This window comes from Homo sapiens, chromosome 9, assembly GCF_000001405.40.
Source record: "Homo sapiens chromosome 9, GRCh38.p14 Primary Assembly".
In the NCBI taxonomy this organism is placed as follows: Eukaryota; Metazoa; Chordata; class Mammalia; order Primates; family Hominidae; genus Homo; species Homo sapiens.
This window is the reverse complement of record NC_000009.12, coordinates 71600760-71619661: the sequence shown is the minus strand read 5'-3', so window position 1 is coordinate 71619661 and position 18902 is coordinate 71600760.

The window sequence follows — 18902 nt, the reverse complement described above, 5'->3', positions numbered from 1 at the left end:
GTCCTTCAACAGTACCATTTTCCTCCTGATTCAAAGATCCCTGGGGCCATGAACCAATTCAAGTATGGAATTGGTTGATGGACCATAATAAAGCTCCATTGCCAAACCTAGGGTTTTCTCTGTTACATTAAAATTGATCAAAATTGATCAATTGATCAAAAATTGTGCACTGCCAATCCTATTATCTAAAGGACTGCAAGATTTGTAAGTCACTGTCAGAGACCCTTGCAGATCAAATCGTTCTTATTACCATTAAGGCTTGCTGTCCATTACAGTAGCCACTCTCACTGTTTCTTATAGTTACACGATGTCAGTTGGCCACTGTGGCTCCAGGATCTCATTATTTTCCTTGAAATTACATAATGTATTTCAACAGCAGCTTTTCCCATGTTCATTTCTGGCCTACAGAAGACAGACACTAACAACTTTAAGAAATCCTGGTATTTTCTTCCCTGGTGGCTAAATGGGCCACACCTAATACATCCATTTTAATATTCCTGTATCCTCAATCTTTAGCTCCCTTCATCTACATTTTGCCAAGGATTTCTGAGATCTCAACTTTAGCCCCATTAAGGCTGAATTTTATCAATTAGTTGAGGAATCAGAACCATTGCCAATTATTCTAACAAACTCAGTGAATCTAGAATCTGTTAAGTGCACCCATATGAAAATATCAGCCTGAACTTAAAGTACTTTTCCCCCTCAACTCTGTTTATCACCCTCAGAATCTATATCTGCACATATCCCTGATGATTATGGCGGTATAAATGTATAAAATCTCACAATTCTATTGGTGCATAAGGCTTTTTTTTTCTGGGTTTGTAACAGACCTCCTGACAAATCCTGGCATCTGACTTTTGTTACAGATTTGGAGGTACTGCCGGGCACGGTGGCTCACGCCTGTAATCCCAGCACTTTGGGAGGCCGAGGCAGGTGGATCACGAGGTCAGGAGATCAAGACCATCCTGGCTAACACAGTGAAACCCCATCTCTACAACAAAATACAAAAAAAAAAAAAAAAAAAAGAGCTGGGCATAGTGGCGGGTGCCTGTAGTCCCCAGCTACTTGGGAGGCTGAGGCAGGAGAATTGCTTGAACCTGGGAGGCGGAGGTTGCAGTGAGCCGAGATTGTGCCACTGCCCTCCAGCCTGGGCGACAGAGCAAGACTGCATCTCAAAAAAAAAAATAATAATAAATAAAATAAAACAAAAAAATAAATAAATAAATAAAAAATAAAAAATAAACAGATTTGGAGGTACTAAGAAAATGACAGGAATAAAGAAAATTGACAACTCTTTTTTTTTTTTTTTACTTTATTTTAGTTTCAGGGGTACAGGTGTAGTGTTATTCTATAGGTAAATTGCATATTGAGGGGGTTTGATGTACACATTATTTTGTCACTTAGGTGATAAGCATAGTACCTAATAGGTGGTTTTTGATTCTCACCCTCCTCCCACCCTCAAGTAGGCCCTGGTGTCTATTGCTTCCTTCTTTGTGTCCATGTGTACTAAATGTTTAGCTCTCACTTATAAGTGAGAACATGCGGTGTTTGGTTTTCTGTTCCTGTGTTAGTTCACTTAAGATAATGGCCTCCAGCTTCATCCATGTTGCTGCAAAGGATGTGATCTTATTCTTTTTTAAGGCTGTGTAGTATTCCATGATGTACATGTACCACATTTTCTTTATCCAGTCTACCTTTGATGGGCACTTAAGTTGAATGCATGTCTTTGCTATTGTCAATAGTGCTGCAGTGAACATACACATGCCTGTGTCTTTATGGTAGAGCAATTTATATTCCTTTGGATATGTACCCAATAATGGGATTGCTGAGTGGAATGGTAGTTCTCAATTCTTTGAAAAATTGCCAACTGCTTTCCACAGTGGCTGAACTAATTTACATTCTCACCAGCACTGTGTAAACATTGTCTTTTCACCACAATCTTGCCAGCTTCTGTCATTTTTTGACTGTTTAATAATAGCCATTCTGACTTGCATGAGCTAGTATCTCATAGTGGTTTTAATTGCATTTCTCTAATGGTCAGTGATGTTGAGCTTTTTTTCATATGCTTGTTGGCCCTATGTATGCCTTCTTTTGAAAAGTAGCGATTCATGTTCTTTGCCCACTTTCTAACGGGGTTGTTTGTTTTTTGCTTGGTAATTTAAGTTTCTTACAGATGCTGGATATTAGACCTTTGTCAGATATGTAGTTTGCAAATGTTTCCTCCCATTCTGTTGGTTGTCTGTTTACTCTAGTTTCTTTTGCCGTGCAGAAGCTCTTTAGTTTATTTAGGTATTGCTTGTTAACTTTTGCTTTTGTTGCAATTGCTTTTGGCATCTTTGTAATAAAATCTTCTCCAGGGACTGTGTTTAGAATGGTATGTCCTAGGTTTTCTTCAAGGGTTGTTTTAGGTTTTACATGTAAGTCTTTAATTCACCTGGAGTTGATTTTTGTATATGGCATAAGGAAGTGGTCCAGTTTCAATCTTCTGCATATGGCTAGCCACTTATCCCAGCACCACTTATTGAATAGAGAGTCCTTTCACTATTGCTTGTTTTGTTGACTTTCTTGGAGATCAGATGGTTGTAGGTGTGTAGCTTTATTTATGGCCTAGCTATTCTGTTTCATTGGTCTATGTGTCTGTCTTTGTACCAATACCATGCTGTTTTGGTTACTGTAGCTCTGTAGTATAGTTTGAAGTTGGGTAATGTGATGCCTCCAGCTTTGTTCTTTTTGCTTTGGATTGCTTTGGCTATTTGGGCTCTTTCTTGATTCCATATGAATTTTAGAATAGGGCAACTCCTTTTAAAGAAACATTACAAAATCTTCAAGTGAGGCAGCAAAAGTCTTATCAAAGAGGGAGGTGAGCTGGCTGTGGTGGCTCATGACTATAATCCCAGCACTTTGGGAGGCTGAGGCAGGAGGATTGCTTGAGCCCAGGAGTTCAATCTCAGCCTGGGAAACAAAGTAAGACTCCATCTCTATTTTAAAATAATTTACAAAGAGAGAAAGAGGGTGGCAAATGCTACCTTTGCTAAAAGGAAGGGTCAGTGGTATTTGAGAGAATGGATAACTTGAAGTTGTCCAAATTCCACAGATTTCTCTATTTCCATTCTTGAGGTCCCACTTTCCAAATTAGTGCCCTAACTCTCATATAAGACTCTTGGGTGAGGTTGGAATTCAACTTATATTGTAATTTAGCAACCCATAGGATCAGACCTTGCAAGTTCTGTTTGGTTACATCTGCCGCAGCTACAAGTGATCATGTCCACATTAGGGAAGTCATGGTTCTCCGACTGTGCCTTTGGCTAAGGATTTAAAACCTTGAGTTTGTCATTTTCTTTATTAAAGTACTCCACCACAGTTAGAAATCACTAGCCCACTTTCCATATAACCATTGTATGCCCCATGTTCTTCAAAATAGCTTTTTGCAGCAGTAACTTGGCCCACCAAAGCCTTCTACTGGCTCCTGCATTCAAGGTGACCATAGGGACAGTTTGACACTGAATTCCATCGAAATACATTATACTATTTGTGCCCCAACCTCTAATGCTAGCCATCTCTGACTGTCTTCACATCCAGCCAGAATATATAACTGTTATGAACTGAATGTTGTCTCCCCCTAAATTCACATGCTGAAGCCCTAATTCCTAATGTGATGGTATTTGGAGGTAAAGTTTTTGGGTGATAATTAGTTAGGTTTAAATGAGGTCACGAGAGTGGGGCCTCCATGATGAGATTTGTGTCTTTATGAAAAGATGAAGAGACATGAGAACTTCCTCTCTTTCCCATGGGAAGACTCAGTAAGAAACCTGAGATCTACAAACCGGAAGAAAAAGAGCCATCACAAGTTACCAAATTGGCTGGCACCTTCATTTTGGACTTTCCAGCTTCCGGAACTGTGAGAAAGAAAAATTCTGTTGTTTAAGCACTCGGCCTATGGCATTTTGTTATGGCAGCCTGATAAATACAATAACCAGCATTAAATTCTCATTTCCTTAAAGGATCCATTTTTTTGCAAACATTTCTGGTACAAATTTCTATATGGGCCAGGATTAGTAACTGCAGATGACGGAATCTATTCTAGCTAGTTTAATCATAAAGTGGTTAATTTTGGAGCATTGAGTGGTATGATAAATTTCTAAGAGGACCAACAAGCTAAATTTGGATACTATACAATCAGGAACAACATAGTGTAGAGACACTCTAAACTCTAAATTGTTTTAATGGAAACTTTCCCATTGCTGTTGCCTGTTGCATGGCATACATGACATTAGTGGCGTGAGAGTAGAACCTCAGCCACAGATGCCCCACAGGAGATCCAAATGCCTCTTCTTGTCAGAAGATCTGATCTCCCCAGATAGCTGCCACCTCCCATTGTGTTATGCAATATAGGTCTCTCACAGGTATGTCTACAAGAGGATCTGAAGGATGCAAATACTAGCTTTTTAGTACATGAGAGCACACATTAGAGAGGGTCTGAGTGTGTGCTGAGTGAATCAATATGTAGTATCTACCACAACTTCCATGTACTCTGATGAGAAATGTCTATAAAGACATCACTGCAGATGGTTCTCAGTCTGGTCTTTTGTTAGCTACTTGCAATATTCAATAAGACCCTCTATTTTAGGAAGGTAATCCACAGTTATTAACTGAGTCTCTGTTGGAAAACAACCCATCATTTTAATTCTGTTCTATGGGAGACATGGTGCAAAAAAGTATTATCCTTCTATTTTAATGAGCTTCCCATTAGAACTATGTTACTGGGCCTGGTTGCCTCATTTCCTGACTGTAAGTATACACCATCCTTTATAAGGATGCTTTAGGGAAAACTGGCCATGCGGAAGGAAAAACAGGTTGGAACTCTAGCTCTTTTTCCTTTTTCAAGCATTACTTAACCGTTGAGAGTCCAGTGTGTGCACTTCTCAGTTTTCTATGATCTATCTGAGCAACTCAGGGCTTTGTTGTTGCTTTCACAGCAAGGAAATAGTCATAGCACAGGTTGGCAGGCTGTGGCCCACTATCTCCCCCTGGGTCTTCCTGGACTTTGCTCTTCCATTGACACACCAGTTCCTTTTAAACCATCCTAACAATGCTGTATCTTTAGCAGTGACTGCTGTTTTCTGATCATCGTTCATCCTCTATGAAAAAGCAATTTGTCTTCTCAAATAATAAACTGCAGGGACTCTATCCTCCCACCTGCCCTTTCCTCACATTCTTCTAAGGTCTAAGTGTTGAAAAAAAATACCTATACTTTTTCTACAAAGATACTACTAAAATGCATCCCTGAGAACTGCAGTGTCTCTAATAGGAACAATGTGACCATTGGTTAAGGGTGAGAACTAAAAGGAAACTAGCTGTTTCTATGCCTAAAAGACCTTATTTTGGGGATATGAAAGAGAAATATTTTTTAAAAACCACTCAAGAAACTTGTTCAGACTATGGACCATATTTTAATGAGAAATGTATTCTGTCTGAGAGAGAAATATTTGGGCAAAAAACTGCTAAGCGAGCAAGGATGGTCAGGCTTACTTTGTTAACGAGTGGTAAATGTGTTCTTCTTGGAAGGAAAAAGGTGGTCCTGGAAAAATTTTAGGAGAAGTGTTTTTTAAGTGAGTCAGACTTTAATCCAAATGCTAACTATTCCACTTACTACCTATATAAGTTTGGGCAAGTTATTATTTCTTTGAAACTTAAGTTTCCACATCAGTATAATGGGTATAATAATACTAACTGCCTATAGGAATATTGTAAGGATTAAACTTAATAATATATACACATATTTTAGGGCCTGGGCATACTTAGTAGTTATTATTATTGCTAGTGATTTTACAGGCATCCCAAACAAAGACTGCATGGGAACATTGAACTAGGGAGCTTCAGGACTAAATATATACATATACACACATATATTTTTAGGTATGTATATCTGATCTCTTAGTTTTGTTTGTAAATAAAAATAATTCACATCTATTTAATCTTTATGTGGTAGATACTGCTGCTTGTCTACATGATCTATTTTCTCCCATATTTCTAACTAAGAAAACCCTAATGTGCCCAGCTAAAAAAGTAGCATTTTTTTTGCAGCCAGAATTGGTTACATGACACAGTTCTGATAGAAAGCAAAAGCCTGCAGTGATTTCTGGAAAAGTTTTCCTTTCCTAATAGTGGTGCCTGCCTTTCCTCTTGTCACTTCCTTGTTCTTCTTCTTGATTGGAGGGTTGAGATGGGGATGGAAGTAAAATTCCCATCTTGAGGCCATAAAGAGACCATGAGTGTGAGGGCCACACACTGAGACTGGCAGAGCAGAAAGAAAGAAGTAACTTGGGATAACTGATGACACTATGGACTGTGGAGTTGCTGCGATTGACCTTCCTGTTAAGTACGTTTTTTTAAATTAATAAGCTTAATTTTTTAGGGTAGTTTTAGGTTCACAGCAAAATTGAGCAGAAGTACAGTGTTCCCATATACCTCCTGTCACTACATGTGCATAGTCTCTCCTGTTATTGACATCTGGAGCAGAGTGGGGGATTTGTTACAGTCCATGAATTAGCACCAGGGTATCATTATGACCCAAAGTCCATAGTTTACTTTAAGATTCATTCTTGGTGTAGAGTGCAGTGGCATGGTCATAGCTCACTGCAACCTTGACCTCCTGGACTCAAGCAATCCTCCCACCTCATCTTTCTGAGTAGCTGGGACTACAGGCTTGCACCACCACGACCAGCTAATTAAAAAGAAAAATTGTAGAGATGAGGCCTTGCTATGTTGCCCATGCTGGAACATTTTCTGGGTTTTAACAAACGTATAGCAACATATATCCACCATTGTAGTATATAGAATAGTTTTACTACCCTAAAATTCCTCTGTGCTCTACCTATTCATCCCTCCATCCCCTCAACCCTTAGCAACCATTGATCTTTTTATTGTCTCCATAGTTTTTCTTTTTCTGAGATGTCACATAGTTATATACAGTTTATAGACTTTTCAGATTGGCTTAGTTCACTTAGTGGTATGCATTTAAGTTTCCTCCATGTCTTTCATTGCTTGATAGCTCATTTTTCTTTAGCATTGAATAATATTCCATTTTCTGAATGTACTATAGTTTATTTAGCCGTTCACCTACTGAAGGACATCCTCGTTGCTTCCAAGTTTTGGCAATTATGAATAAAGCTGCCATAAACATCCACGTACAGGTTTTTGTGTGGACATAAGTTTTCAATTCACTTGGGTAAATACTGAGGAGTATGGTTTCAAAATCACATGGTAAGAGTATGTTTGGTTTTGTGAGAGACTGCCAAACTGTCTTCCAAAGTACCATTTTGCATTCCCACCAGCAATGAATGAGAGTTCCTGTTGCTGCACATCCTCGACAGCTTTGGCGTTGTCAATGTTCTGAATTTTGGTCATTTTAATAGTGTATAGTGGTATCTCCATATTGTTCTAGCTTGCAATTGCCTAATGATATATGATGAATATCATAATAAACATCATTTGCTCACTTGCCATCTGTGTATCTTGTTTGGTGAGGTGTCTAGTCAGATCTTTTGCTCACTTTTTAAATTGGATTGTTCATTTCCTTATTGTTGAGTCGTAGGAATTCTTTGTATATTTTAGATAACAGTCCTTTATCAAATATATCTTTTCCAATTTTTTTTCCCAACTTGTGATTTGTCTTCTAATGTTCTTGACATTGTTATTCAATGAGAAGAAGCTTTTAGCTCGTCAATTATTTCTTTCATGGGTTGTGCCTTTCTTTGGTGTTGTATCTAAAAAGTTATGGCCATATCCAAGGACCCTAGATTTTCTTCAATATCATTTTTTTTAAAGTTTTATAGTTTTGTGTTTTACTCTATGATCCATTTTGAGTTAAATCTTATGAAGAATGTAAGGTCTGATGTTCAAAAGGATGTCCAGTTGTTCAGCACCATTTGTTGCTCCATTGTACTGCTTTTTCTCCTTTGTCAAAGATCAACTGACTATATATGTATATGGGTCTATTTCTGAGCTCTCTATTGGGTTCTGTTCATCTAGTCTTTTGCCAGTATCACACTGTCTTGATAACTGTAGCTTTATAGTAGTCCAGAAGTTAGGTAGTGTCAGTAATCTGGCTGACATTCATTCATTATTGAGTTGGCTATTGTGGGTCTTTTGCCTCTCATATAAACTTTAGAATCAGTTTGTCAATATTCACAAAAGAACTTGCTGGGATTTTGATTGGGATTGATGTAAATCTATAGATCAAGTTGGGAAGAACTGACTTCTTGACAATATTGAGTCTTTCCATCCATGAACATGAAATTGCTCTTCTTTATTTAGTTCTACTTTGATTTCTTTCATCGGACTTGTAGTTTTCCTCATATAGATTTTACACATAGTTTGTTAGATTTACACTTAAATATTCATTTTTGTGAGTGCTAATGTAAGTGATAATGTGTTAATTTTAAATTCCACTTGTTAATTGCTGGTGTATAGAAAAGCAGCAATTAACATATTAATCTTGTATCCTGCAACCTTGCTATAATTGCTTACTAGTTCTAGAAATTTTTTTGTAGATTCTTTCAGATTTTCTACATAGATGATCGTGTCTTTTGTAAACATATGTAGTTTTATTCCTTCTTTCCTCGTCAATACAGCTTTTATTTCCTTTTCTTATCTTATTGCATTAGCTAGGACTTCCAGTGAATGTTGAAAAGGAATGGTGAGAAAGGACATCCTTGTCTTGTTCTGATTTTAGCAGGAAAGCCTAACTTTAGCATAATGTTAGCTGTTGGATTTTTGCAGATGTTCTTCATCAAGTTGAAGTTTCCCTCTATTCCTAGTTTGCTGAGAGTTTTTATCATGAATGGTGTTTGATATTGTCAAATGTTTTTTCTGCACATTTGTATGGTCATGTAATTTTTCTTCTTTAGGCCTTATGACTTTGACATTTAATTAGGGTATATAGTCCATTTATACTTAATATAATTACTGATATATTTTGGTTTAAGTCTACAGTCTTATCAGCTTTTTATTTGTCTCACCATTTCACTCTCCTTTCTTGCATTCTCTTTGATTAATTAAATATTTCTTTTCTTTTTTTTTGAGACAGGGTCTCACTCTGTTACCCAGACTGGAGTGCAGTGGCCCAATTATTGCTCAAACCTCAACCTTCTGAGCTCAAGCAATCCTCCCACCTCAGTCTTTCAAGTAGCTGGGACTACAGGAACCTGTCACCGTACTCAGCTAATTTTTTGTTTTGGAGAGACAGGGTCTCATTATGTTGCCCAGTCTCATCTTGAACTTCTGGGCCCAAATGATCCTCCTGCCTCCACCTCCCAAAATGCTGGGATTACAGGTGTAAGCCACCACACCCAGCCAATTAAATATTTCATATTATTCCGTTTTCCTTCTATTTACTCCTTAGTCATACATATTTCTACTTTTTCTTTTAATAGTTACTTAGAAATGACAATATATATTATTATTTATTAGAGCCTAACATAAACTATTATTTTAAATATATCCAGGATAATGCAACAAACTTAGAAGAGCTTCTCTCTCTTTAGCTCCACCCAGTAGTGTGCTAATGGCTTATATCAATTCCTGAAGATTGACTGATAAATATTTGGGAATTTTGCAAGCCAGTTGTTAGAACACTGGTAGTTTGAAATTGGCCATAGTGTGAGTATTTATACCACAGAAACATAAAATAATCAAATATAATTTTTTTGAAAACGTGTTTTTAAACATTAACACATTATTGCCTCATCTCCATTTATGTTACTGTTTCCATGCATTTTAATGTTATATATATTTTAGACCCCACAAGACATTATTAACATTATTTTGTATAGTTGGTATTTATATGTGAATGAAATGAATGGAATCGATTCATAGATACCTGACAACTTTCTATGTTTTTTCAAATTAGAATGTTTTCCATAGCACAAAAGATTGAAATACAAATGAATAATTGTCTAACCAATGGAATTGACATGAGTTATGGGCACAGGCTTTGCCTGATTTTGACTTCTTTTATGTCTGCAACTTGAGTAATAATTTGATGAATGTCAACTATTTTCTTAGGCATTCCAGTCCAGTGTTTGTTGAATGAAAGACAAAATTAATAAACATATGGTGCTTACCTTACTAATGTTATTTTTGATACTATTACTTTTAGTATTAATACAATAAAACTAAAAAGGGAATTTATTTTACTATATATCTGAAACATAGTGTAAATTGAATGAATATTTATGGAATTGGTGAATGAATAATAATAAGCCACAACTAAACACCTACTCTCACCAGCATAATCTTCTTTAAAACTGGGAACATTCCTAACATTCCTCTGTTTTATCTTGAAAAGTCTGTTTATTGTTCTGACTTCAGCCTCCTCCAGAAAGGTTTTTTTTTTTTTTTGAGACAGAGCCTCACTTTGTCGCCCAGTCTGGAATGCAATGGTGTAATCTCGGCTCACTGCAACCTCTACCTCCTGGGTTCAAATGATTCTTCTGCCTCAGCCTCCTGAGTAGCTGGGATTACAGGCACCCACCACCTGGCTCAGCTAGTTTTTGTATTTTTAGTAGAGACGGGGTTTCACTATGTTAGCCAGGATGGTGTTGAACTCCTGATCTCCAGTGATCCGCCCACCTCAGCCTCCCACAGTGCTGGAATTACAGGTGTGAGCCACTGTGCCTGGCCAGAAAGCTTTGCCTGAGTTTCCAAGTTCATCTGAGGTGCCTGCTTGTGCTCTCACATCATGCTGGGCTTCCTCTAACACACCACATATATGATGCATTGTAATTGCTTGTTTAATTATTGATCATGTTCACCATTTTGTGTGCTCCATTAAGGCAGGGATTATGCCTATGTTGTCATGTAGTAGGTGCAAAATGCATTTAACTCAAATATATGAACTATAGATTCCTGTAGGCAGGTGCTAAATCTCATCTGCCTGTTTTATTTTGCAACATGGACATAGTACTATGTTGTTATACAGTTTTCAATTACTATTTATATTTTTCTCTTTTTGTGAAACAGAGTCTTACTCTGTTGACCAGGCCAGAGTGCAATGGCACGATCTTGGCTCACTGCAACCTTCGCCTCCCGGTTTCAAGTGATTCTCATGCCTCAGCCTTCTGAGTAGTGGGGATTATAGGTGTGTGCCACTATGTGCCTGGCTAATTTTTGTATTTTTGGTACAGATGGGGTTTCACCATGATGGCCAAGCTGGTCTCAAACTCCTAGACTCAAGCAATCTGCCTGCCTCGGCCTCCTAAAGTGCTGGGATTACAGACGTGAGTTACCATGCCCGACAATACTTCTTATTTGAAATTACCACTCTCTGTTAGACCATGTGATCAGAAAAAAGAAATGCTTTTAATATTGGACAAAAGAGGAGACTAAGCCTGGCTTAAGCAGTCACACAATGATATTTGAAGTATTTTCCATTGTAGCTTTTCAACTTTTGGTCCTCTGTAATAATGTAGGTGACTAAGCCCTTGTTGAATTTCCAAAAAGGGAAAATAGAATCACAGAGCGCCTTAATTGGAGGATTTCCAAACAATTAAAATGGTATTTGATGGTGATGTCTAAAAAAACTGAAGCAAGAGTGTGTCAAATACATCATATATGTCAGAATTAAAGTCAGGAGTCTTAACTCCCAGTCTCATGGTTGGATAACTTTGTTCCATTAGCTTAGCAGGCAGATGTCTTGGAGGCTGCTGTACCCACTATAGTACCATGGTCTGTGTCATATCCATGAAGTCGGAATCTAAGGTTTTCAATCTAAGATTTTCTTCCACAAGTTTTGGGCTCCATTGAGCAATTGCTTTAACCAGCATAACAATTTTCACTTTGTTTTGCCACTTTCTCAAAGCATATTGTGAAAGTTTAGAGACCAGAATTATATACTTGGCACGGAACAAAGTTTACGGAACTCCCTGGACATGGCCTTCGGCTCAGAACCAACTGGCAACTCCAGTTGGTTAGAAGAGTCAATTACATTTGTAAAGGTTTTCGTTCTTAGAAAAGCATACTCGAGGAACAATTAGGAAAACAATCTCTTTGACTTGGCTGAGATGAGGCTAGAAATATCATCTGTCCTAAATTTAAATTTGTTGGGGCTGAAGACAACATAAGCTCTATTTTTGATGATTACAGGTCATGATTTCCACAGCCTGACTGTTTTTGGCAACATATTATTGTGTTAAATGGCACATAAGCAGTTTTCAAATTCAAACCATGAGATTTTCATCCTTTTTATCTCCCCTATTTGCTAATCATAGCCTGCTTTTTCTAGATCTTCTCTTTGGCTGTGCTATTAGAGAATCCTAATCAAAATTTCCTTAGGGAAGATTCTTCTTTGAGTTGATCACTGAATACACTTTTTTTTCTACTCATCAGACCACTCGTTGTGAGTAATTGAAACCTATAGATGGCCTATTGTCTAGTTTAGAGAACTGAGTCAATTTCTCTTGGCAAAAAGTGGCTAGGGCATTGAATTGAGATGGAGCATCTATCTACTATAGGGGAGAAAAGTTTGCTGCCAGATCAAGTTGGAAGATCATCTCCTCTAAGTCATATGCCACATTATTTATCTCGCTCTACTTTTTTCATTTCTACTGGGCAAGTTCTATTTACCCCCAATTCTTACATACAAAATTGTGTGTGTTCATTTTTGCCCTTATGGTATGTTGGATACAATGGAGGCCATCTGTCTTTTTTATTTTCCAACAGTATGTTCACTTCTTATATGATGCCTATTAAGAATTGTTAAAGTGAATTAAGTATGGCCTGACAAGGACTCTGTACTTCTATATTTGACTCTTTGTGGACTAACCGTAACCTAACTTAATAGGTAGACAAGATTGAAAACCTAATTTAGGAGTATGTGCCGGTAACAATAGCTGAGTCTTGGCCAATCCCAGCAGCCATACTTCAACTACTCACACTGCTGAGTGTTCAAACTGTGTTCAAATAAGGCAGACCCCAATCTGTAACCAATCCAGCTGTTTCTCTACCTCACTTCCAATTTCTGTACATCGCTTTGCTTTGTTTGTCTATAAATTTGTTCTGAACCTGAGGCATCCATAGAGTCTCTCTGAATCTGCTGTGATTCTGGGGGCTGCCTGATTCGTGAATTGTTCATTGCTCAATTAAACTTTAAATTTAATTTGGCTGAAGTTTTTCTTTTAAAAGTACAGAGGAAAACATTGCAGCAATTCAGTGTTTCTTGAAGGAAGCAGAGAAAAAGTCCTTCTGTCTTCTGCATTCTCTTCAAACTATCTGCCAGGTGGGCTCTCACCTCCTCCTCTCTGAGGCATCAGCCCAATAGAGGAGGCCTGGGAATCTGTGTCCTCTACCTTGTTACCTTATTCTTTCTTTAACCATTATTCTGTAAGGAGCAGTCTCAGGTGGCTTCCTACTATTGGAAGGAGTGTCCATTCTACATTCTGTCGGAGCCTCCCTAAGGTCATACAACATGGATCTTGATGCTAAAGATATAGGATGACTTGGAACTACGGATTATTGAGAATGAAAAGATACCACTTTAATTCCTCTTTCTCCAAAATAAAACCCTATTTTATTATTATTATTATTATTATTATTGAGATGGAGTTTTGCTCATTGCCCAGGCTGGAGTGCAATGACATGATCTCAGCTCACTGCAACCTCCGCCTCCTGGGTTCAAGTGATTCTCCTGCCTCAGCCTCCTGAGTAGCTGGGATTATAGGCACCCACCACCACATCCAGCTAATTTTTGTATTTTTAGTAGAGACAGGGTTTCAACATGTTGGCCAAGCTTGTCTTGAACTCCTGGCCTCAGGTGATCCACCCGCCTCTGCCTCCCAAAGTGCTGGGATTTACAGGCGTCTGGCCCCTATTTTATTACATTACAAAAAAGGGGCTGTAGTAGTCATATTTTTGTAACCTACTTGAAAATATCATGGACAGCTTTCTATGTCCTCAAGTATAGGCCTGCATTGTTATTTTCATTAACTCCATGCTATTACACCATAGTATACCTGACCTTTATTTGTTAACTTAAAAAATGAAGGATTTCATTAATAGAGCTCTTTTGTAGTAATTACTATGATTTCTTTCAGGCCAGAAAGTTGCTACTTCTGTACATTGGCATATTTTTCTCTAGCTGTTAGAAACTATTCAAGTCCCTTAAGGCTTTTAGAACATCCTAAACTTGATGCTCATATCAGCTATTAACAGTCAAACAATTGCCGGTGAGATTATAAAGTCCCATAGAGAAGATTAGAATGAATTTCAGAAAAATTCCCTAACTTTCAGAATCTACTGATTAACAGAATTTAGATACCTACGTCTAGCTAAAGCTGGGCCTAGGTTCTCTGGACTTATGTTATGTGGCACCATCATTATTCATGTGATGTGAGAAATAACCCACCTCAAAATGATTTGTCAATATTTGAATACCCTGAAATCTCACCTACAATAACTTCATTATTTTACCTTGCATTTTTGGTTCCATGGTTATGAAATGCTGTTGCTGTTGGCATCATTTATGCTATGATATAAATGAGCTTCAGAAGCTGTGTGTGTGTGTGTGTGTGTGTGTGTATGTGTGTGTATGTGTGTTTTCTCACATCCCTTCTTGAAAAACCATTGTGAGAAGAAAAGCGGATAATCATATTGAATATCTAATGCAGGAAGGTGGCCTGATGGGTATGGAGGGGTGGAGGTGGGGCAAGGGTGAAGGTTCCATGAACTTGATGTCTGGAATCACTACAGGGTCATTTGCCTAGTCATAGTTTTTCCCAGCATAATTTCTGATGGGAGCATAGATGACAAAGAAAATTTCAAGCCTTATGAGGAATAAAGGGAAAATTCTCATGCCCCATGGACAGATCTGATAAGGAGCTTCAACAAAAAAGACTTGTTTTATAAACTTGAAATGAGGAGAGATTTTCTTTACCATTCAACAGATGGTAAAGGAACCACAGGCAAGAGAGCCTGAAGATGCTTTGCAGGTCTAATTTACTGTCAGTTGAGCGCCCCCTGGGGGATAGCCAGTGGAGAAGGTGGTCCAGGTCCCTGAATATTGGCCATTTTCCTCTTTTGAACAGTCTTTGGGGCAGTGCCTGATTTGACTTGGGAATTAAAAGAGGCTTGAGGCTCATAATCATTTATAAGGGATCAGTAATAATTCCAGCTCTGTTTATGTTCAGTAGTTGTAAGATTAAGGTAAGTGGCATACTTTGCAATCCGCAGGTTGCCACAGGGATATTAGCAATCATTACCGCAATGACCACTCACTCCCTATAAGGCTGCCTGAGATCTCATATGGAAGAGAATATAATTTTATTTTCATAAAAACCCTAAGAAGAAGGGAAGGAAACTACTTTAATTTTCCAAAACGAAGCTAGCTTTATTTTGTCTGATAGTAGAATACATAAAATATTATAGAATATGTTTATATAGAATATTTTAGTAATATACTGAAATGTGTAGAGTATTCAAACATTAACATAACAAAGAAAAGAGACTACATCTTTTGAACTTTGGAATGTATCACTAAATCACCCTCCAAAGAGACTAGATCAATAAATATACTTACCAGAAGTGTGTGAGAGCAGCCTATTGCTTGCACACTTGCAAATCCTGGGCTTTGTCCATCTTTTTAATTATAACCAATCTGTTGTTTTTTTTGCATTTCTTTGATTACTAGTGAGGCTGAACATCTGTTCATATATTTACTAGCCCTATTTCTTTTTAAATTGTTTATTCATTTTTTTTTTACCCTTTTTTCTTTCTCTTTTGTGCTGATTTATAAGAACTTGAGGCACTATGGGTATTTACCCTTTTCCTGGCACATATGTTGCAAATCTTTTTCTCCAGGTGTTATCTTTTATCCTTGATTGCAATGTGTTTGTTATTTAAAAACTTTGTTTTATGCAGTTAAATACAGTAATATTTTCATTTATGGTTTCTGGCTTTAGCACCATTGCATGGAAAAACTTTCCTTATTTAAAGATGTAAAATTATTCACCCCTAGTTTCTTTGAAAATAGCATTTATTGAATGTCTACATATGCCAGGAGCTATGTTTGGCTTATTACATGTATAAGTTTATTAAATTTTCACCACAGTCTTATGAGGTAGGTATTACCATCATCTCCATTTTGCAAATTAAAAATTGCAGGTTGGAAAACTGATTTACTCATGATCACCAGGCCGAGAAGTGGTAGGCCCATGCTTAGAGGTCAGACTTCTGACTTCATGGAATATAAACTTTCCAAGTATTTAATATCCAGAGATGATCCTGCCTACAGATATTAAATTTGAATAAATTCATAAATTAGAATCTATTACAAATACTTTCCCTGGAATAAAATGCCCAATCTTGAAAAAATTACTTTAATAGCTTCATGGGTGCTAGATAATAAAAAAAAAGTAGTGAATATGGCTGAGAATGCCAAGAACCAGTTTATAGAGCAAAATATATTAATTTCCATAATGTAGATGAATAGACTATTTGGGTTTTTGCAGTAAAGAAAGATTTTAATTGACGTGAGGCCAGCCACCCCATGTGGGAGAAGAACAGAGTTATTACTCAAATCAATCATATTGAAGGCTTGTAGGTTAGGTTTTTTTCCAAAGGCAGTTTGGGGGAAGTGATGGGGGTGGCTAGGCCTTACTGCTGATTTGTTGGGTCCAAGATGAAACCATAGGGTTGTTGAAGCTGTCCTCTAGAACTGAGGTGCTTCTAGGTGGGGCATGGAAGTGTGAAATCATCAGTCAGTGAGTCCAGGTGGAGTCATGGGTGTCACATGTATATAAAACCTGAAAAGATAGTTCAAAAGGTCAATCTACAACAGTAAATTTGCATATTTTGTGACCAGTCTACACCTTAGCAGAATTCAGTTTCCTCTCCTCCCCCTAGCATGAGGGCCTTTTGTTATCTATACAAAGGTGGTTGAGTTTTTGTGAAAGTCCTATTATCATTTGAACTATAAATTCAATGTCTACCAAAGTTAGCTTAGCCTAAGCCCAGGAATTCTTAAGGGAAAGGCAAGATGGGGAGGGCAGTGGGTTAGATCAGATCTCTTTTACTACCATCATGTTCTGTTATAATTTATGCAAAGGCAGTTTCAATGTCACACATTTCTGAATCACTTCTAGCAACATCAAACTAGCAAACTACAAAATGTTCTATAAACAAGCTAGCCAGGCTCTTGCTAAGATGAGAACTGTTTGGTAAATTTTAAAAAACATGAAACATAATGAAGATACTGCTATTGATACGGATTTTTCCTCCTGATACTTTGAGTTTTGGCTATTTTCAGAGATTTGTGGAGGAGATTAGATGTCCTAAAATTATATGGAAAAGAAGTTATTAATATTGACTTGAAAACTTCATATTACAGAGAAAAGAGTGCTTTTCCTTGATCAATCATTCAGTAGTTGAAAATAACTCCCAATATTTTAAAGCCAAGGGAAAAAAATACATAGCATGAAAAGACAATGGGCTGTATTTTTAACCAGTGCAATGCTGAAAAAGTTCGCAGAAATAATTTTATTTTAACTTGCTTAAGAAATGTAGTATATGTAACAAATAATATCCAAAAAGGGCTGTGTTGTGGGTTTTTTTTTGGCTGAGATTGCGGTTAAAAAAGAGAAAATTTTGTAAACTTGGGTTAATCTTCTAAAAGAGACAATTTCATTTCTTTAAATTATACTTTAAGTTCTAGGGTACATGTGCACAACGTGCAGGTTTGTTACATATGTATACATGTGCCATGTTGGTGTGCTGCACCCGTTAACTCGTCATTTACATTAGGTATATCTCCTAATGCTATCCCTCCCTCCTTTGCACACCCCACGACAGGCCCCAGTGTGTGATATTCCCCACCCCGTGTCCAGTGTTCTCATTGTTCAATTTCCACCTATGAGTGAGAACATGCCGTGTTTGGTTTTCTGTCCTTGTGATAGTTTGCTCAGAATGATGGTTTCCAGCTTCATCCATGTCCCTACAAAGGACATGAACTCATCATTTTTTATGGCTGCATAGTATTCCATGGTGTATATGTGCTACATTTTCTTAATCTAGTCTATCATTGATGGACATTTGGGTTGGTTCCAAGTCTTGGCTATTGTGAATAGTGCTGCAATAAACATACGTGTGCATGTGTCTTTATAGCAGCATGATTTATAATCCTTTGGGTATATATCCAGTAATGGGATGGCTGGGTCAAATGGTACTTCTAGTTCTAGATCCCTGAAGAATCGCCACACTGTCTTCCACAATGGTTGAACTAGTTTACGCTCCCACCAACAGTGTAAAAGTGTTCCTATTTCTCCACATCCTCTCCAGCACTTGTTGTTTCCTGATTTGTTAATGATCACCATTCTAACTGGTGTGAGATGGTATCTCATTGTGGTTTTGATTTGCATTTCTCTGATGGCCAGTGATGATGAGCATTTTTTCATGTGTCTGTTGGCTGCATAAATGTCTTCTTTTGAGAAGTGTCTGTTCATATCCTTCACCCACTTTTTGATGGGGTTGTTTGATTTTTTCTTGTAAATTTGTTTAAGTTCTTGTAGATTCTGGATATTAGCCCTTTGTCAGATGGGTAGATTGTAAACATTTTTTCCCATTCTGTAGGTTTCCTGTTCACTCTTATGATAGTTTCTTTTGCTGTGCAGAAGCTCTTTAGTTTAATTAGATCCCATTTGTCAATTCTGGCTTTGTTGCCATTGCTTTTGGTGTTTTAGTCATGAAATCCTTGCCCATGCCTATGTCCTGAATGCTATTGCCTAGGTTTTCTTCTAGGGTTTTTACAGTTTTAGGTCTAACATTTAAGTCTTTAATCCATCTTGAATTAATTTTTGTATGAGGTGTAAGGAAGGGATCCAGTTTCAGTTTTCTGCATATGGCTAGCCAGTTTT